The sequence below is a fragment of the Homo sapiens genome, chromosome 19, assembly GCF_000001405.40.
Source record: "Homo sapiens chromosome 19, GRCh38.p14 Primary Assembly".
NCBI classification, from domain to species: domain Eukaryota; kingdom Metazoa; phylum Chordata; class Mammalia; order Primates; family Hominidae; genus Homo; species Homo sapiens.
The window spans coordinates 30,453,314-30,474,394 of NC_000019.10; the positions used below are offsets into that span (position 1 = coordinate 30,453,314).

General features: G+C 49.6%; 1 protein-coding gene across 46 annotated transcripts in view, besides 1 other annotated feature; it reads left to right on the forward strand.

Moving 5' to 3' along the window:
• Positions 1 to 21,081, forward strand: part of ZNF536 (zinc finger protein 536) — a 487,995-nt gene that overhangs the window by 227,722 nt on the left and 239,192 nt on the right. The gene's annotated exons all lie outside the window — the stretch shown is intronic.
• Positions 4,341 to 4,851: an enhancer, noted in NCBI's record as "H3K27ac-H3K4me1 hESC enhancer chr19:30948561-30949071 (GRCh37/hg19 assembly coordinates)". NCBI's record gives its function as "activates a minimal SCP1, AML or CMV promoter by ChIP-STARR-seq in naive H9 embryonic stem cells {active_cell/tissue: H9 hESC(naive)}" and the evidence as "EXISTENCE:reporter gene assay evidence [ECO:0000049][PMID:30033119]".

Here is a 21,081-nt window from a genome sequence, read left to right on the forward strand (position 1 = left end):
CGGGGTGCATGTGGGCTCTTTGCTGTCTGTGGGGCCCTCGGTTCATCCTCGAGCCAGGTCTGGTTTAGGTTTACTAGGGCTGTATTTTCCATCTATTTGTTTTGTGTTGCATTTTGCTTACTCTCTTCACCTAAGTCCTTGTATATTGTGAGTATGATGGGGTGGCGCCAGCCGGGATTGGTCAGTGACTGTTCCTTCCCTGTAATAGCAGGGCTGATTAGCAGAATATAAGAAATGAATGCTGTGCCTCTGAAATGTGCCTGTGAGACAGGATCTAGAACTCAGCGGCTCAGCTTGCAACAAACAGGGCAAACTAAGCACAGAGATTTGCTACCATCCTTTCCCTGAGCCACATCTTCAAAAAAGACTGCAGAGTCCCAAAACAATGCGTGTCTGAACAAACACCATCTTCAGCTACCTGATGGGTGGGCCTGGGCAAAACGGGGGCCATGCCGAAAGCAAGGGCAGCAGTCCAGGCAGAATTCATTTGCCTCCTGTTTCCACCACCCCCAAGAGAAAGTTGTCCAGGGCTTAGCTTCTTGTGGGACCCATCTCTTTGTTGCTGTGAGCCTTGGGGTTTTTGTGTGACATGTGGCATGTGTCTGGGAGAAGCGAGAGGCACAGCACAAGCTGACTCCTTGGCTTGGCTGCCCACCACACCACATGGGAGGCCGGCCCTCCCCTTAACGGTGCCCAGCCAGGAGGCTGCCTCCAATGTGGGCATGAGGACGGGCTTGGCTTTAACACCTCCTCACTTGCTTCCAAAGGACAGGGTCATTTTCCAGCTTTTCTTGCAAGCAGTGTCTACCTTTAGGAACCTTTCAGTTTTACTCTGTGCCATGGGGCCCAGGGCATTTCACGGAGAAATCAGTCCTTTCCTTTACAGAGGCAACTTGTAGGACTAGACTTTTGGCCAACGCTAGTTTCTTTTCTTTTGTCTGACCTCAGTTCCAAAACCATTTGATGCACGATGAAACAGGATCGCGCCACAGTGCTCTCTTCTCTTCATTAAAGTAATGTCCAGAAACTCTTAGCACAGTGGTGGTCATCGTGGCTTTTGGACACTCTCAGTTGTCCTCAATCATCTTGAGAGGCATTCTGGAACATGTTCAACATGTTAACGTTGAGTTCAACATGAAGTGTATGCAGTGGTGGTTTTCTTGAAGATCAAGACAGATACATGCTTCTCTTTATTGCTAAATATGTATATTTTTAAATTTGTTGCTAAAATATGTGTTTTTATTTTCGTTTCATTTCATTTTTTAAAAACTCAGTAGTTTGCCCTGAAAAATTGGAGTGATCCTGCAGCAAAGCTGCTATGTGGCATCATAATCCCTGTTGAGAGAGAAGGCTTGGCAGTGTTCATGTCCGTCTCTGGCTGGGGCCAGACCCCTCGGAAATGTCCTTTTTAGTGACCTTCAAAACCTTTCCACTTGGGACCGGGTGTGGTGGCTCACTCCTGTAATCCCAGCACTTTGGGAGGCCGAGGCAGGTGGATCACATGAGGTCAGGAGTTCGAGACCAGCCTGGCCAACATGGCAAAACCTTGTCTCTACTAAAAATGCAAAAATTAACCGGGCTTGGTTGTGGGCGCCTGTAATCCCAGCTACTCGGGAGGCTGAGGCAGGAGAATCGCTTGAATCCGGGAGGAGGAGGTTGCGGTGAGCCGAGATCAAGCCATTGCACTCCAGCCTGGGCAACAAGAGCAAAACTCCATCTCAAAAACAAACAAACAAACAAACAAACAAACAAACAAAGTTTCTACTTGGTCTCGTCCACGAGTCCCGTTCACTGACTTTATGATGCTGTTGTTGTTCAATGACTTCACTATTCTTTTTTTCTTACTATAAAGTAATTCTTGTTCATCTTGGACATTTAAGAGATACAGATAAATAAAAAATAAAAAAAATTAAATGTGTATGCCTACCACCACTCAGGAATAATCACTGTGAACACTTTTTTTTTCACTAAACTAGTAAATATTTTGTTATCGATGCATAGTTTATGTATAGATTTTAGGGTACCTGTGCTAATTTGATACATTCATATAATGTGTAAAGATCGAATCAGGGTAATTGGGACCTTCATCACCTTAAATATTTATCTTGGCTGGATCCAGTGGCTCATGCCTGTATTCCAACACTTTGGGAGGCCGAGGTGGGCAGATCACTTGAACCCAGCAGTTTGAGACCAGCCTGGGCAATATAGCGAAACCCTGTCTCTACAAAAAATACAAAAATTAGCCAGAGCGGTGGCATATGCCTGTAGTCCCAGCTACTTGGGAGGGTGAGGTGAGAAGATCGCTTACGCCCAAGAGGCAGAGGTTGCAGTGAGATGAGATTGTGTCACTGCACTCCAGCCTGGGCAACAGAGCAAGACCCTGTCTCAAAAAGTATTATCTTTTCTCTATTCTAGAAACATTTGAATTATTCTCTTTTGGCTATTTTGAAATGTACAATAGATTATTGTTAACTCTCGTCACCCTACTGATCTATCAAACTCGAGGTGAACATTTTTAATTCATACTTTTCCAGTCCTTTTTATGCAACTAAAAATGTAGTTAGCCAAAAAGTACATACTTCTGTGTAAGTTCTTACTGAAATGTATGTCATATTTTTTCTTGTCATTGAACATTTCCCACCAGGATCAGCAAAGTTTTCCTGTAAAGAACCAGCTAATGAGTATTTTCGGCTTTGGGGGCCATGTGGTTTCTGTAGTAAACACTCAATTCTTTCATAAATAAGAGTGTGATGGTATTTCAATAAAACTTTATTGAAATTGCAAAAATTGGCAATGGTTCAGATTTGGACCCTGGGCTGTTGCTTGCAGATTCCTGTCCTAATAGTAATAGTTATACTTTTTTTTCCCCAAGCTTTACACAAGTAATATGCACATGGAGGAAATGCTAGAAAGATGGAGAATCCAAGAAAAACTCTATATCTATAAAATGGTTTAGCCAATCTCTGATTCGTGAACACGGGACTTGTTTCTTTTCTTTTTTTTTTTTTTTTTTTTGCCTGAGATGCAACCTCTGAGGTGTACGTTTCTGCAGCATTTGTGACCTCATCGATCATTCTGATCTTCTGCACCATTATTTCCTTAGGTGTGTTGCCTCGCAGTAGACTCTCTGGTCACAGGCTGGTGAGTCCGAGGTGGCAGAGCTAAACCACCCACTGTGTGCTGCGGCTCTAGACTGTTTGTTTTACGCTGGTGTTTGCACCATGAGAAAATCCCCTCGTAAGATTGTACTGAAGCCTGTCTCCCTGAAGCTAGGTAGTTCCCTATCACCACGCCACTCTGTGACTTATTTGTTCATTCATAAATACACTCATTTGTTTGTTCAATCATTAATTCACTTATTTATTCACTGAATGATGAAATGCTTATTAAGTGGCTTCTGAACACTGAGCAAGGCATCAGGTGCTGGAGATGCAAAGATGAGTAGAGGCCGGGCACGGTGGCTCATGCCTGTAATCCCAGCACTTTGGGAAGCCAAGGTGGGCAGATCACTTGAGGTCAGGAGTTCGAGACCAGCCTGGCCAACGTGGCAAAACCCCATCTCTACTAAAAATACAAAAATTAGCTGGGCGTGGTGGTGGGCGCCTGTAATCCCAGCTACTAGGGAGACTGAGGCAGGAGAATTGCTTGAATCCAGGAGGCAGAGGTTGTGGTAAGCTGTGATCACACCACTGCGCTCCAGCCTAGGCAACAGAGCAAGACTTCATCTCAAAAAAAAAAAAAAACAAAAAAAAAGATGAATAGAGATGCATCTCAGTGTCTGGAAGCCCACAGCCTCTAGGTGCTGGACAGGTAATTCACAGAGTGAGACAGACACATGGGAGGGTTTACCCTGGGGCCTGTGGGAGCACCTTGGTGCCCAGTTTGTTCTCAAAGGATCTGAAAGGGCAAGGAACCACTTCAATTAGCTCAGCGACTTCTTTGGCAAGGAGGAGTAACTCTTTCCCTCTGTAGAATTAGGCCAATCCTGGTGACTTCCTGGAGGAAGCAGACAAGTCTCTTTTAGCCACTGTGGCTGGCTGCTGTTCTTTCCCTGGCTGGGAGCCACAGTCTAAGTAAATGCCTTGTCACATACAGAAGAGGCCCTGGGAGAAGAGTCCAGTGGGTGCTTCCCAGGAAGGCATCCCAGGCTGGGAAGGGAGGGAGAGGGCCGGAGCAGGATGGGAGCTGCTGAGGCCCAGTGAAAGCTTTGTTGCACCCTACACACCACATAGGGGGCCTCCCCGAGGGAGAGCACTCTGGGGGACGCAGGACAGTTCTCCACACCAGAAAGTGAGAGGCAGGCTCCTGGCTCCAGCTCATGGCCCCCTGACCATGCTGTCCTTGGAGGCAGTGGCTCATGAATGGAGGAAGACACATCAGGTGGTCAGGGGTGTGAGGCTCCTACTGGGACCCTGCAGCTGGAGCGTGCAGAGAACCTGTGAGGCCCCACACTGGGAAGGAGGGCTCACATTTTATCCATTTCCCTGTCTGCCTTAGGAACTGTCCATACCTGCCCCACAGGGGCTCTGGGTGTCTCATGGGAGGGCTGCACCCCCAGTATGTCAGAACGTCCATCTGCAGCCTGCAGCAGAGGATTGCAGGCACTCGTGGATACGGCCCCTCTTCTTTTTGGGTGGTGGGTGGGACATGAACTGAACGAGGGCTTGCTATGAGAATGGGTGGAAGTGACTTCTAGTCAATTGCCCTTTATCTTCTGATGAAGCAAAACGTCATATACTTAGATATTAAGCCAGAGACAAACACATTTTCTCACGTTAAAGGAAAGGCTGAGGGCGGAACGTCCCCACTTCACTTTGGAGCCGGGCCCCACACACATTTTCGGGGCCATGCGTTTAGTCATCCTGCTGGACTATTTGGGCAGCTCGCTTTCCTTCTCTGGGCTTTGGCTTTTTCCTCCACATCATGGGAATTTGGGTGGGGAAGTGTAGAAGATTCGGAGACGCCTCTCAGCTTCCATTTTTCCTTCATCTTTCAATGTTTCCCCCACCTTTCTCTCCTCTCCCTTCCTAAATGTTTCCATGGCTTGGGGGTGATTTTAAAGGGTCTTACCTGCTGTTCCTTGAGTAGAGAATTAACGTTCCTAGGGTCCAAGTATTTCCTCAATTTCCTGCTGTTTTTTTTTTTTTTTTTTTTTTTGACCGAGTTTCACTCTTGTTGCCCGGGCTGGAGTGCAGTGGCGTGATCTCCGGTTCACTGCAACCTCCACCTCCCAGGTTCAAGAGATTTTCCTGCCTCAGCCTCCCGAGTAGCTGGGATTACAGGCATATGCCACCACACCAGGCTAATTTTGTATTTTTAGTAAAGATAGGGTTTCTCCATGTTGGTCACGATGGTCTCGAACTTCCAACCTCAGGTGATCCGGCCACCTCAGCCTCCCAAAGTGCTGGGATTACAGGCGTGAGCCACCACGCCTGGCTGATTTCCTGCTGATTTTTGCATCTGAGCTTCATCGTGTCGTCTCTGAGGGACCCATGTGCCTGGTGAGGGGCTGGGGAGACTCTCTTCTATCTCATTTCCCGTGGGCCCCCCTTCCACCTCCCATCTCTCCTGGATGCCATAGAGGCAGAGCCTTGCAGCTGGAGGGGCACTGCCAGGGCCCCTGCTTTACCCAGCACGTCTGTGAGTGTGTTAACTGTGGCCGAGGACTCTGGTGCTGGCCCTTAGGAGCTGTGTGGCCCAGCAAGGGCTCCTCAGCCTCTCTGTGCCTTGGTTTCCTCCATGTAAAAATGAGGACGATGGTAGTGTTTGCCTCTCTTTATAAAGCCCTTAGTGAAGACTCCAGTGCTCAATAGACGTCATCTGTTATGAGGTTTATTTCTACGCTATACAATACAAACACAAACAGGTGAAAATGGGCAACTTGGCCAGGGGAGTGGTTGGTTTTTCATTTTTATCATTTTCATTTTTTTTTTTTTTACCCCATTGAATGTTTATTTCATTTGGGTACATCTTTCTTTTTCTTTCTTTCTTTCTTTTCCTTTCCTTTTCTTTCTTTCTTTCTTTCCTTCTTTCTTTCTCTCTTTTTTTTTTTTTTTTGATGGAGTCTCTCCCTGTCACCCAGGCTGGAATGCCATGGCTCCGTCTTGGCTCACTGCAACCTCTGCTTTCCCGGTTCAAGTGATTCTCCCACTTCAGCCTCCCAAGTAGCTGGGACTCCAGGTGCATCCCATCAAGCCTGGCTAATTTTTGTATTTTTAGTAGAGACAGGGTTTCACCATATTGGCCAGGCTGGTCTCGAACTCCTGACCTCAAGTGACCCACCTGCCTTGGCCTCCCAAAGTGCTGGGATTACAGGCCTGTGCCACTGTACCTGGCCTGCAGAGTGACTGTTGGGAGGTGTGCAGCTCACGGGGTCGGCCTCACTGGTTTGTGTCATTGAATCTGGTAGCCATTTGTCTATATCCCTAGTGCGATGTTGGGACCAGTTGTTTGCATCAGGCTCTCTTCGCTGGAGGTTGATTAGGGTGCCCTTGTCGAGCAGTCACTGATGCTGTCCTAGGCAGGCAGCTTTCCTTCTCTGTGTGGAGCAAATTCAAGATGGTTTAGTTCCTGCCCAACATGCCACAGTGAGTCTCAATTCAAACTGACTTTAACTACAATTATAACCACAGAGGAGCAGTGAGATTCACGGAACTGGAAGGTCTGGACTCTAACTGAGGTGGAGTTAGCAGCTCAAACGGCAACCCCATGGACTTACCTCATAGTAGCAAAATGGCTGCCATAGCTCACACCTCACATCCCCATGCCACCAAACAGAGCAGCACTTTTTTCTAGAGGTCTAGCAATGATCTTCTTGCATCCTACTAGGTGTTTTTGTACTATTATGCCCATTCCTGAACCAGTCACTGCTGCCAGGGGAATGGGGTGTACCACTTGGTTCATGGCAAGGAAGTTAGTCCTTGGAGGAGTGGGAAAGAGAGAATGCCAGCTCATCCATCCCGTGGCCGAATGTGACAGAGAGAAGCTTTCTCACAGAGATTCAGACGGAGGAGGAGGCATGGAGCTTGGGCAACTAAATGGTGTCCAAAATGTCACCGCTCCGAGGTTCTTCTAGTAGCAGAGGCACTGGCCCTCCTGCTCAGGATACCTGAAGAGGTGTCCTGGCCTCCCTGAGCAAGGTGGTTTGGAGTCTGCACATGGTGACGAGGTTCTGTCCTCTCATTCTCCCATCACAGAGATATGACTGTGTTACATGGGTCAGCGAGTTCTTTGGCCACTTTCTCCAGGAGTCCATTCCTGCCTGTTCTCTTCTTTTTGGTAATACTGAGTCTCATCTCAGCTAGGAAGTGACAATGGACACCAGCAAAGCCAAATGACATATCCTTCCATGTGGCCACTGTGTGTGCAGGACTGTGTCCCTCATCATGTTAGTGGAGAAAGGGGTGGCACCCAAGAGGAAGGGAAGGTGGGATTCCCTGCTCTTGAGGAGAAGCTGGCCTGTCTTTGGGAATGGCCCACACATAAAAGAGAGTTGGGAAGCCACAGAAAAACAGTGGTTAGCTCAGGGATTGCGACTCAGGGTGCAGGGCCTGGGATGTCCTCTCAAGCACAAGGGAACAGCCTGGTCATCTTCCTTGCACCTCCTTCTCCTTCACTGCCTCTTCCCCAGGTAGAAACAAGATGCCTGCCCCCCAAACCTACATTTGTCCTCACTCTGAAAGGACACAGAAGGAGATAAGACTGCAGGGTCAGGCCGTGTGGGCGCGTCGGAGGGGTTGGGCATAGGGTGAGCCCAGGCCTCTGGCATGGGCTCCCATTTCCCTGTTTCCCAGGAGTGTTCCACAGAAGGTATCACTGGGAATCTGCCCTCCCAGAGATTCCCAGAGGTCTGGAGGGGACAGCGTATCAGCGGTTGTGTAAACTGAGGCATGGAGAGGTTGGATTGAGTTGTAAGGCTAGAAGTGGCAGAGCTGGCATTTGAACCCACCTCTGTGTGACCTCACGCCTTTTAACTCCACCTTTGGGCCATGCTGGGAGTTGTGTAAATGCAGCAGAAGGCAGAATGCAGCTCACCAGCAAACTCGGCTGCTGGTAGGACAGGCTGCAGGGAGGTCAGAGGTCACCACTTCCCTCTCTTTGCTTCTCAGTAGGAGTCATCCCGACATCCCTTCAGAGAAAGGAGCAGGGAAGGAGGATAGCCCAGCACTTACTCCCTTGGTGATGTCTGATGGGACCCCCCTGAGCCCCACACTTAGGCTTGAGGTGACCCCCCAGAGCTGTGGTTGTGAATATCCCCGAGCCCCTGCTCAAGGTCACACTTGTTCCCCTAGTGTCTAAGACAGGGAGGAGGAAAGGGGAAGAGGCCCTCTGAGGCCCCAGGAGCATGGGCTGGCAGACAGGCCAGCACAGCCTGACTTGGGCTGCCCGGCTCTCCGCCTGTGTGAGCTTGCCCCCGTCTCAGTTCCCCAGTCCCTTCTGACACTATGATGCTTCATGAGTGTCCTTTACATGCTCTAGCCCGCAGCTCCGTGTGGGGAGATGGCCTGCATGTGTGGCTGGTGGGAGAAGGGGCCTGCAGGTAGAAGAACGTTGCTGGCACCGCCGGTGCTGCCTTGTGCATGAGCTTGCAGACACCATCCGGAAGTCAGCTCTCCACCCCCACCCCTTCTCCAGAAGAGGAGAGACTCCCCCATCAGTAGACAAAGAGAAAGAGAAGAAGGAGATCTCTAATCCTCCGGCCTGGTCAGGGCAGTCCATGGGGTTGTAAATTAGGAGGGCTAGATGATTGTCTGGGAGGGCCTCCAGAGGAGGGGTGGCTGAGAGTTTTGTTGTTGTGGGCACAGAGGGCTGGAGCAAGCAGCCACTTTGCACTGGACACATGCAGCAGGAAGCTTGGGGCTGGCACGAGGCCCTGGCCCCACCTAAGATGCTCTTGGAGAAAGGGCCCAGGACTCAGTAGAGGGGCTGAGTCTGCTGTGATGGATGGGAGGAGGCCAGCAGGTTCTTTTCTTGTGATTTTGTGTGTGTGAGTGTGTGTGTGTGTGTGTGTGTGTTGAATGTGTGTTGTGCATGTGGGGATATGGATATATTGGTGGGTGTGCTTGTGCTGTCTTGGGGTGGTGATGCTGTATGTATATCTGCAAGTTACCTTAATTTTTCAGGTGTAGGTAGCTGCGGGTGCATGTATCCCTCTGTGCCTGTGTGTATGTGTTGGCGTGTGTGTCTTGGGCTATGGCTGTCTTGGTATGAGAGAGGATGTGCCTGTGTTGAGTATGTGTATTGATGTGTGCACAGGTGACAGTGACTTGGGATGTGAATGTCAGTATCTTTGTGGTTATTGGGAAGTGTTAGGATGTGGCATTTGGGTGTGCAATTATGTTGCTGTGTTGGCATGGGATGGGGTGTGTGTTGTGTGGATAAGGATGTGTGTGTTGTGATGGGTGTATCCATATGCATTTGCCTGTGTTGGAATGGGATAGGGTGTGTGTTGTGTGGATAAGGATGTGTGTGTTGGGATGCATGTATCCATATGCATTTGCCTGTGTTGGAATGGAATGGTGTGAGTGTTGTGTGGATAAGGATGTGTGTGTTGGGATGGGTGTATCCATATGTATTTGTCTGTGTTGGCATGGGATGGGTGTGTGTTGTGTGGATAAGGATGTGTTTGCTGGGATGGGCGTATCCGTATGCATTTGCCTGTGTTGGAATGGGATGGGGTGTGTGTTGTGTGGATAAGGATGTGTGTGTTGAGATGCCTGTATCCGTACGCATTTGCCTGTGTTGGAATGGGATGGGGTGTGTGTTGTGTGGATAAGGATGTGTGTGTTGGGATGCGTGTATCTGTATGCATTTGCCTGTGTTGGCATGGATTGGGGGTGCATGTGTGTTGCATATCATGATGGCTTATTATTACATAGGGTGGATTTGACCTCCCCCAAGGACTATGACCTTCAACTTTCCTTAGAGGAGAGGTATCTGGGTTCTGAGACTGTCCTTGCCCCTTTTTCCAAAACCTTCGCTCATCACTAGAGGGGTCTTCCCTCCCTAATGCTGGCTCAGCCTCAGGTGGAAGATCTGGCTTTTGGGGTGCAAGTTGGGAAATGCAGAAAGCCCTGCCTTCCAGTATGCAGCTGTGGCCTCTCCAGCCTCAAGCACCTCCTGGAAGAAGCTGGGGCTTGAGGCTCTGGGGTCCCCATTCAGGGAGCCTCTGTTCTGGAGCTCAGCCAGCCTTGTGCCCGGAGGAGGTCCGTGAGCTCCATGAGGCAGGGGTTGTGTTTTCTTCAGCCGTCTTTCCATCATGCTTCCCTGCACGGGGCATAGAGCACAGCAGATGTCAGGGAATGTGGTCAACTTATACAGAATGAAATGAAATGCCTTCTCTCAGCACAAAAGGCACTTTGCCCAGCAGCCAACTGGGATTTAGTCCTTCCCACCGCTCTTCCTGTAAGAACCTAAATTTACAGCACAGGGCCTGCCACCGTAGACTTTTGGTGGGGGTTATTGTGAGCTGGGCAGGTTACCAGGTGCATGAGGGAGCGTGGGGGTTTGAGATGGGGTGCAGGCATGGTGGTGTGGCTCGGGGATGAAACCTCATGGTGATGTGTTCTGTTTGCTGTCAGCATCCTCGGGACCCCCTCTCAGGGACAGTGGTGACCTTGGCTCCATGTCCAACTTCTCCCTGGATGATTATTCTCCTTCACGAGCCTAAGAGGCGGCTCTAGGAGTAGCTGTTTTCTCTCTTGCCTCCCTCCTGTTGAAGTTCACCAACAGAGTAGCTGCCTCATTCACTTGTGCCTGTTGGAAGCCAGGGGTACAACCTTCAACTGCGGTCACTGCCTCTTAGGTCTGCGGAGTGTTTAAGGCCTAAGCCCTGTGGCCAGCACCTGCAAAGTGATCACATCGCTGCTTACGGGTTTAGCTGACCAAGTTCTATGGACACGATGAAGGATTAGGGGTGCAGGCCTGGGGCGATGGGGGTGGAAGTGAGTCTGACTGAGTTTACCACAAGGCAGGGATTTCAGAAAGGCACCCACACATTCTGCAGCCAGCTGGGGGTGTCGACCAGAGCCTGGGGACCAGACGGCGCTGGGCCCTCGAGGGGTAAAGGTCAATCAGCTTTTCCTGACCTCTGCATGCACATAACATAGGAATCTCCCTTTCCTGAAATTCCAACACATCTTCTCCCAGCCATTTCATAAGGTCAGAAAGAACAAATTTCAAGAATAAGAAGGTAGTGGGTTAGGGGAGTCATGAATTGGATGAAAATCATGGGATCATGATTTTCCTGGAAATCACCAAGACCCCAAGTGGCAGCTCCGCCAGCTTCTGCTTGGAAATGTGTGCAGCCAGGTGCATTGGGGTCAATGGTCCTTTTTTGGTTAGTGGTTGATGACACGCTGTCATCTCCAGGAAGTAGGTCCCATGGGAAGAATGGCACATGGGTCCAGGAGACTATTCAGGGGAGAGAGAGCCTGAGCACAGGAGAAAGGGCAGAACATGAGTGCCCAGGAGGGAGAGGGCAAAGCGGGGTCCATCAGGGTGGGGCTCCTCCTCCTGCCCGAGTTCCTTACCAGGAAGCACAAGGTTCTGTGGAGGCCTAGAGGGCCCCTTTGATGGCTGTGGCTCTTCGGGGAATTTGGATGGAAAGTGGCTGGAACCCCCAAGGGATGCAGCACTCTGGAGAACAGGGACTGCCTGATGAGAACTGGGGCCGTCGGGGTTGATGAGAGAGCAGTGATGTCAGCCCAGGCAACAGAGTGGTCATTGGAACCATATTGTTTCCACGCTTAGAATCCCCCAGTGACTTCCCATTCATGAAGTACGGAGTTAAATCTGTGGCGGACAAGGCCCCATCACCTCCCACTCTCCCTGGTCTCACTCTGCTGAGGCCCTGCCACCTTGCCTCTATTCTCATTCCCTGAAGCCAGCCCTGTAGTGGCCTCAGCATTGCCTGCTGCTCTCTCAGGCCTGCTCTCCCCGCAGACCATCCTGTTACTGGCTTCATCTCACCTTCACCTCAACGCCACTTCCTCTGGGAGGCCTTTCCAGGGACCTTAGTAGGAACTATCCCTCCCCAGTCACCCCCTGAAGATGTTTCTCTGTAGGATTTGCATCTCTGAGGTGTTTGGAGGGCACCTTGTTCACTCTTCCTGGTTTTCTTCTTCACTCATTCATTCATTTTCTTTCTTGTGTATTTGTTGACTTGCCCCTGGTGTGAGCGCCAGGAGAGCAGGGTTGGTCCCTTATCACATCGCCAGCACCCACGGCAGTGCCTGGCACATAATACAGACTCAGTAAACACTTTTTTAAAATGTGTGGTAAAATACACGTAACAGGTTGGGTGTGGTGGCTTAGGCCTGGAATCCTGGTGCTTTGGGAGGCCAAGGCAGGAGGATCACTTGAGCCCAGGACTTTAAGACCAGCCTGGCCAACATGGCAAAATATCATGTCTATAAAAATTATTTTATTTTATTTTATTATTTTATTTTATTTTTGAGATGGAGTCTTGCTCTGTTGCCCAGGCTGGAGTGCAGTGGTGCGATCTCGGCTCACTGCAAGCTCCACCTCCCAGGTTCATGCCATTCTCCTGTCTCAGCCTCCCGAGTAGCTGGGACTACAGGCACCCGCCACCACACCCAGCTAATTTTTTATATTTTTATTAGAGATGGGGTTTCACCGCATTAGCCAGGATGGTCTCGATCTCCTGACCTTGTGATCCGACCACCTCGGCCTCCCAAAATGCTGGGATTACAGGCATGAGCCACCGTGCCTGGCAAAGAATTTTTTAAAAAATTAGCTGGGTCTGGTGGTGGGCACCTATGGTCTCAGCTACTCAGAAGGGAGGAGGCTGAGGTGGGAGGATCATTGGAGCCCAGGAGGTAGAGACTGCAGTGAGCAATGATCGTTCCACTGCATTCCAGCCTGGGCGACACAATGAGACCCTGTCTAAAAAAAAAATACATATAACATAGAATTTACCATTTTAGGCTGGACACCATGGCTCACGTCTGTAATCCCAGCACTCTGGGAGACTGAAGCAGGAGGATCACTTGATCCCAGGAGTTCAAGACCAGCTGGGGCAACAAAGCGAAACTCCATTGCTGCAAAAAAAAAAAAACCCAAACCAAACCAAAACAAAAATCAGCTGGGTGTGATGGTGCATGCCTGTAGTTGTAGCTACTCAGGAGGCTGAGGTAGGAGGATTGCTTGAGCCCAGGAGGTTGAGGCTGCAGTGAGCTGAGATATACCATTGCACTCCAGCTTTGGTGACAGAGTGAAACCCTGTTAGAAAGAAAGAAAGAAAGAAAGAAAGAGAGAGAGAGAGAGAGAAAGAAAAGAGAACTTACCATTTTAACTGTTTTTTTTTTGTTTTTTGTTTTGAGATGGAGTTTTGCTCTGTTGTCCAGTCTAAGAAAGAAAAAGAAGGAAAGGAAGGTAGGAAGGAAGGAAGGAAGGAGGGAGGGAGGGAAGGAAGAAAGGAGGGAAGGAAGGAAGGAAGGAAGGAAGGAAGGAAGGAAGGAAGGAAGGAAGGAAGGAAGGGAAGGAAACTTACCATTTTAACCATTTTTTTTGTTTTTTGTTTTGAGGTGGAGTTTTGCTCTTGTTGCCTAGGCTAGAGTGCAGTGGCACGATCTCGGCTCACTGCAAACTCTGCCTTCTGGTTTTAAGCGATTCTCTTGCCTCAGCCTCCCAAGTAGCTGGGATTACAGGTGCCCACCGCCACACCTGGCTAATTTTTGTATTTTTAGTAGAAATGGAGTTTCACCATGTTGGCCAGGCTGGTCTCGAACTCCTGACCTCGTGATCCTCCGCCTCTGCCTCCCAAAGTGCTGGGATTACAGGCATGAGCCACTGCACCCAGCCTTAACCATTTTTAAGAGCACGATTTGTGGTATGAGCTACATGCACATGGTTATGTTATCATCAATACCACCCATCCATAGAACCCTTCTCCTCTGGCAAAACTGACACTCTGTACCCATTCACCACAACTCCCCATTTCTCTCGCCCCCCAGCACTTGGCAACCACCCTTCTACTTTCCATGTATGGATTTGAGTACTCTAAGTACCACATATAAGTAGAATCACACAGTAATTGTCCTTCCATGTCTGGCTTATTTTGCTTAGCATGGCCTCCTCAAGATTCATTCATGTTGCAGCCTGTGACAGATTTCCTTCCTTTTTACGGCTGTATAGTATTCTATTGTATGCATATCCCGAATTTTCTTTATCCAATTCATCTGCTGATGGTGTGTCCTTTTGGCTGTTTCAGTACACACTTGAATAAATGAATGACGACAAGGAGGGTGGATCTCTGCCTCCCTTCCCCTGCACAAGACAGGAGTGGCAGCTTTGAACCCATGAAGGCCATTCATTCATGGATTGTATCCTATGCTACTGGCTCTCCAGAGGCCAGCGGGACCTCTTTCTGCAGTAATGTGCTGTGCTATGGGGTCTGGACCTTGGCCAAGATACTGAGCATTTCTGAGGGAGGGTTTTGGCGTCAGGAATGGGCCTCTGCTCAGACCTTAAGCCACTGGGTAGCTACTGTGTACCCTGAGGGGGTCACAGCCCTTTCCACAGCACCTGGAGCAGAGGCACCCTGGTATAGCTCCCTCTCCTAACCCTGCAAGGCAAGCTGTGCCACAGCCCTGGCCGCACAGCGGCCTGTGTGAGCCCAGTGCTCTGCCATCCGGGAAGGAGGTGAGGGAAGGGGAGGGTGTGACCCCACAGTGCCTGGAGCTCATGCTGGGAGTGAGTGAGCACAAACAGGCACCAGCGCCCCGTGAAAAATGTGTCACCGCCCACGACAAGATACGCTGCGTGGTTTCTGTAGGAAACTGAAATTCCAGAAAACAACCCCTGTGGTCCAGTGTGTTTTACTGGAAGTTCAGACCTCCCCTTCAAGCTTGCCTTGTGCCTTTTAGAAACAGAATCTCTGTCTCACTCCCCAACCCAGCCTAGGTTAATGCTGAGACCAGGGCAAAGAGGAGGACTTGGCGATAAGGCTTGGGGCTGGGAAGATGCTGTGATTCACTTTGATGTCTTGGAGGGGCAGGTTGTGAGGATGGAATGAGGAAGGGGAAGACCCCAGCTCGAACGCCAAGCTTCGGTGGGCCTGGTGGGCTGGCCAAGTGTCATAGCTGCTGCCTGCATGGGGTCCTGTGTGCCACGCCAGGCACAGGGCAGGTGCTGGCCAAGTGGATCTCCCCCGCCACTCTGGCAGTTCATAAACTGGGACCTGGGGCGAGGGGTCTGCATTGAGCTGGGAACACAAACCTCAAGGCCCGACTTGTCCAGATGTCACTTGGTGGTATGGACTCTGCAGGGGTTCGTGAGGGCTGTGGGGTTCTTGATGGTGGTTGGGAGAGCTGGGAAGGCACGGAGCAGCATGGAGGGATGGAGATATGGTCTTGGGGGAAGCTGGTATGCTGGACAGAAGCAGCAAATGTCGTGAGTGCAGAGTAGAGCAGCGCTTGGGAGGGCCTGGGCACCGATGCCCATCGACACCTAGGCAGAGATGGTGTGGACCCTGAGATCAACAGGGAGAAGAGGCATGGGGAGCTTTGGCTTTGGGGGTGCAGGTGCAGAGAGGGATTCCAGGCAGGAGTGTGCTCATCCCATTCCCACCTGAGAATGTCCAGAGGCGATGAGGATTGTCACACCCACCCCATAAAGGGGGGCCCCTCCAGGCCTCCTGGGGCTTTCTCCCTTCCCTGGCACCTGGAAGACCCAGATACCCATGACCCAGGGCCCTGGGGGACTGCTGCAGACCCACTCCCTGCAGCAGGATGTCCCCTGCAACATGGTGCTGTTGACCAAGCCAAGTCTCCAAACATAGACATAAAAGAAAGGAATGACCGGGCACGGTAGCTCACGCCTGTAATCCCAGCACTTTGGGAGGCCGAGGCAGGTGGATCACGAGGTCAGGAGGTCGAGACCATCCTGGCTAACATGGTGAAACCCCATCTCTACTAAAAGCACAAAAAATTAGCCGGGCGTGGTGGTGGGCCTGTAGTCCCAGTTACTCAGGAGGCTGAGGCAGGAGGATGGCATGAACCCAGAAGGCGGAGCTTGCAGTGAGCCGAGATCGTGCCACTGCACTCCAGCCTGGGCAACAGAGTGAGACTCCATCTCAAAAAAAAAGAGAGGAAGAGGAACATGGCAGGAGTCCCCAGCCTGCTGCAGGCTTTATCACACCTCTGCTTGCCCATTAGTTACCAGGAAAAATCTTCCTCCTCAAAGGGAGAGCATTACAAGCCAATACACCTGGATCCCTATTCTATTTCTGGGGTGCCCAACAACCCTTGGCTGATAGAGGCACATTCCCCAAAGGGTATTTGGTAGTTCTCAATTAATGGAATGAAGCCATGCACAGGTGTACCCATTCCACACCTGGGTATTCCACACCTGGGCACCCTGCTCCTCTGGGGACGCTCAGCCTGGCTTACAGCTCCCACCGCCCACCTGCCTATGTCCATCATGGGTGTGATAGGAGAGGGCACCTCAGAGCCAGCCAGGGATGCCAGAGGTGGATGGTGCCTGTCCTGGAATCTCGGTGCAGGTTGTAGAGGGGATAGAGTGAAGTCAGCTTCACCCAGACTGTCCCCAGCCCACCCCCACATCTTCCCCACATGCTATTCACTGCTAGAAACATAATATTTAGCTGACGGCAAGGAAGCCAGAGAAATCAGCAGCAACAGTGGTCTCCAGGGGGAGAGATGTAACCAAAAAACAAAGTGTACGAGTTAGAGTCAATTCCAGAGCCTGTGGCTGCTTCAAGCTGCCGTGGACAGCCTCCTCCCAGGTGAGTCCTGAGGGAGGGGTTTGGGGAGGAGGCTGTGCGATTCCAGGGGGAGCAGGAGGCTTTCTGTCTGCCATCTTCCCTATGATTTTTGGCTTGTTGGTACTAGTTTCTTTAGCTACACCCTTTTTTGAGGAAGGGAGGCTTAGAATAAATTTCTAATTTTTGAATAGTGTTAGATTTGCAGAAAAGTTGCAAGAAGAGTCCAAATCTTCTTATACTCCATGCCCAGCTTCCCCTGTTGTTAATATCACTGTGGTACTAATATCACAACACATGAAGCAATGTTGATGTTATCATTAACCAAAGCTTATACTTTACTCAGATTTCCTTAGTTTTTACCTAATGTCCTTTGGTCTAGGATCTCATCCATAATACCACATTACATTTAGTTTTTTTTTTTTTTTAATTAATAAACTTTGTTTTTTAAGAGAAGTTTCAGATTTACAGAAACATTGAGTGGAAAGTACAAGGGGTGGCCATATGCCTCCGACCCCACACCTCCCCCACTAATGGACAACCTGTGATAGTTTCTTAGACTTTCCTTGTTTTTGATGACCTCAAGACAGTCTTTGAGGAGTCCTGGACGGGTATTTTGTAGACTGTCTTTTTTTTTTTTTTTTTTGAGATGGAGTCTCGCTCTATCGCCCAGGCTGGAGTGCAGTGGTGTGGTCTCGGCTCACTGCAGCCTCCACCTCCCTGGTTCAAGCAATTCTCCTGCCTCAGTCTCCTGAGTAGCTGGGATTATAGGTGCATGCCACCACGTCCAGCTACTCTTTTTGTATTTTTAGTAGAGATGGGGTTTCACCATGTTGTCCAAACTGGTCTCAAACTCCTGACCTCAGACAATCTGCCTGCCTCAGCTTACCAAAGTGCTGGGAGTACAGGCATGAGCCACTGCGCCCGGCCTTTTTTTTTTTTTTTTAGAGATTGGGTCTCGCTATGTTGCCCAGGCTTATCTCAAACACCTGGGCTCAAGCAATCCTCCCACCTCGTCCTCCCAAAGTGCTGGGATTACAGGTGTACGCCACCAGGCCTGGCTTAGACCGTTTATCAGATGTTCTTCTCATGGTTAGACTGGAGTTATGGGAGGAAGTTTGTGAGGAAGGCCAGGGAGATAAAGGACCATTCTCATCACATCGTGTCCTATTAATCTGGCTTATCACTGATAATGTTGATCTTGGTCACCTGGCTGAGGTAGTGTCTGTCAGGTTTCTACGCAGGAAAGCCACAGCTGTTTTAAAGATAATTAACAGGCAGGACAAGCTAAATAATTTATAGAGCTCAGTGCAAAATGCAAATGTGGGGCCCACTGTTCAGTCACAAAGAATTTCAAGGCAGAAATAGAACATTAAACCAAATTCAGGGTGCTTTTAGGCAGGGGCTCCTGGGTGACGTGCACAGGTCGCAGTCCCATGAGACTGGTCTTGTTTGCAGGGCAATTGTCAGATCACCCAGATGCCCCTAGAGCTCTTTCTGCATGGAGAGAGAAGGCCTGTGCCAGCTGTCCTTGATCCCTGGACAGTTGGAAGGGGCAGATGGCTGAGGAGGATCCTAGGTACCCATAGCCATGTGGGCAAAACAGTATCACGGGCAGAGGATGTCATGAACATCACAGGTGTCTGCAGAGGCCCTGCTGAGGCACCTGCCTGGTAACATGAAAAACTTGACCGGAGGTCTGCCTGGATAGAGAGAGAATGGTTGGGTGTGTGCAGGAGCCAGTGGTTAGTAACAAACAGCAGCAACTCTGTAATTTTTTTTTAAATGCTACTTTTATTTTTAAGTTTTTTTAAAATTATTTTCTTCTTTTTCTCAGTGCTCAAAGCAGCATTTTTTTTTTCTGGAACACCTTAGAATAGCTTATTTACCAAATGCTACATGAGCCTTTATGCTGGGCAAACCGAGGAGCTCCATTAGAGGGGGACACCTGGCCTTGACCGCCCCCATCCCTACAGCTTTCTTGTTAGGAGAGGAGGGCATCGCGCTACCTGGTCTCAGGTGCATACCTGCGGAAGCAGAGTCCTCACGATAGCAGGGAGAAGAGTGTAGGGAGAAGAGTGTACAGCTGCCAACCGGCTTCTCCTTGCTATTATTCACCCAGCTGTTTAGAGAAGGAGAGAGTATTTCTAATCAGCCATATGGCATGGAGTTTTATTTGCCTTGGTAAGTTAAAATGTACATTATTGGTCAGCATCTTGCATGCAAATTTTGACATTGCATTCCAGGAGTACCTGCGGAAGAGAGTGGCGGCAGGTCGGATCTGTGTAATTACATTGCTTTGTAGGCTTGTAACATTGCCATCACTAACGATGCCCGGTATCTCACTGCGACGGCTGCCTGGGGATATTGCCGTGAGACTCCCGTAGCCAGAGAAAGATTATGTAAACATGTGTGATCTCAAAAGTGAGTAATGAAGTTGAGTACTTGTTGCAAAAATTAATAAATGGCTGGTTTACACGTGATGGAGGAGTCCCTTGTGTGAAAACTGAGTCACCCAGTGTAGTGATGGATAAACGCACTTCGAGGCACAGGTGACTTAAAGAAATTCATCCTTTTCTCTACTGATGTGATCAAATGGACAATTGCAGTCCACACCTTTCACTCCCTACTTGACTAATATGAAATCATCACGAATATATCTTTCTCCTGCTCTTGGCCTGTCAGAATCTTAACTCTTGCTTCAAAGGATGGCATGTCAGCTCTATGGGGTTACCTGCAGTTTCTGGAATGGTCTATGTTGTCCAATGCTGCAAGGAAGTGCTCCAAGGTGGCCTTGGACCGATCTGATTCTGCCCCCTTTCTCACTTGTAGTTCTCAAGAATAAGGGTAGAGGCCGGGTGAGGTGGCTCACACCTGTAATCCCAGCACCTTGGGAAGCTGAGGTGGGCAGATCACCTGAGGTCAGGAGTTCGAGACCAGCCTGGCCAACATGGTGTAAACCGATCTCTACTAAGAATACAAAAAAAAAAAAAAAAAAATTAGCCGGGCGTGGTGGCACACACCTATAGTTCCTGCTACTTGGGAGGCTAAGCCAGGAGAACTGCTTGAACCCAGGAGGTGGAGGTTGCAGTGAGCCAAGATCATGTCACTGCACTCCAGCCTGGGTGACAGAGTGAGACTCCATCTCATAATAATAATAGTAATAATAATAATAATAATGGTAGAATGTTCTGGGGATATAACATCTTGAGATTAGGGGGAGCTGGCCAAAACACCCTGGCCTCTGATACAGTTCCCCCTAGAAATTAGATATCCTTTGGTGTTTTAGCCCAGCGTGTCCCATGGCCCCAGAGTATGCAACCCTGGGGGCTGCTTTTCCAAGACCCTCAGTTGTAGTGCAAGTGGCTTATACAGACAAGACTACATCCACCCCAGGAAGCTTTCTTGAGCCTTAGGGGACCCACTTGCAATAAATCTTAGGCTTCTGTCCACCTTGCTGCCTATCTGTAAGTAACAAATCTGCTTCACATAACCTGTTGCATGTATTCTGTGTCATTGAACTTGGACAGGCTGGCACCCATCCTCACACATGCCTCCAGGCCTTTACACATGCAATTTGTTCACTCATATCCTTGGAGCCGCTACAATGTATCCTGAAGTTATTACTCACCTACTAAATGTCCTTTGAGTCACAGCTCAAGTGCCACCTGCTCAGAGGAGACGTCCCGCCCATCCTGTCTGGAAAATTAACCCCCTGCCCTTCTGGCCCATCCTTCCTTGATGATGCTTACCTTTCTGTTTTAGCTGTCTCTCCTCCAGGGATGAATGTTCGTGAAATCAAACTGACCAGGGTCCAGATCTCAGTTCCACCAGGCACCAGCTTGTGTGGCCTTCAGCAAGATACTTTCTGAACCTCAAATGTGCTGTCTGTACAATGGGAAAACACTAGTTTCTAGTTTGTAAAGCTGTTAGGATGAGATGATGTGCCTGGCCCATAGTAGCTGCTCAGTGAATATTTGTTCCGACATGGATGAAGGAAGTGAGACTTTTGTGATGTCTGACTATTTTTAGACTGGAGAGGAAGAGGGAGGCATATGGGAAAGAAGGCATGGCAGAGACAAAGGTGAAGCACATTGGTGAGCTAGGTGTGTTTAGTGGATGTTGACGCCATGTGGTTGGGAATGTGCTGGGAACCCTGGAAAAGGAGACTAGGGCCAGACTGTGGAAGGCCTTGGACGCCAGGCAAGGATGACATCCTGCAAGCTGGGACCAGCTAGAGGCTCATAAACCCTCTTTCTCTCTCTCTCTCTCTCTGTGTGTGTGTGTGTGAAATGATTAGGGGGTTTATAGCATGGCTACCCTGTGAGCACTGTGTA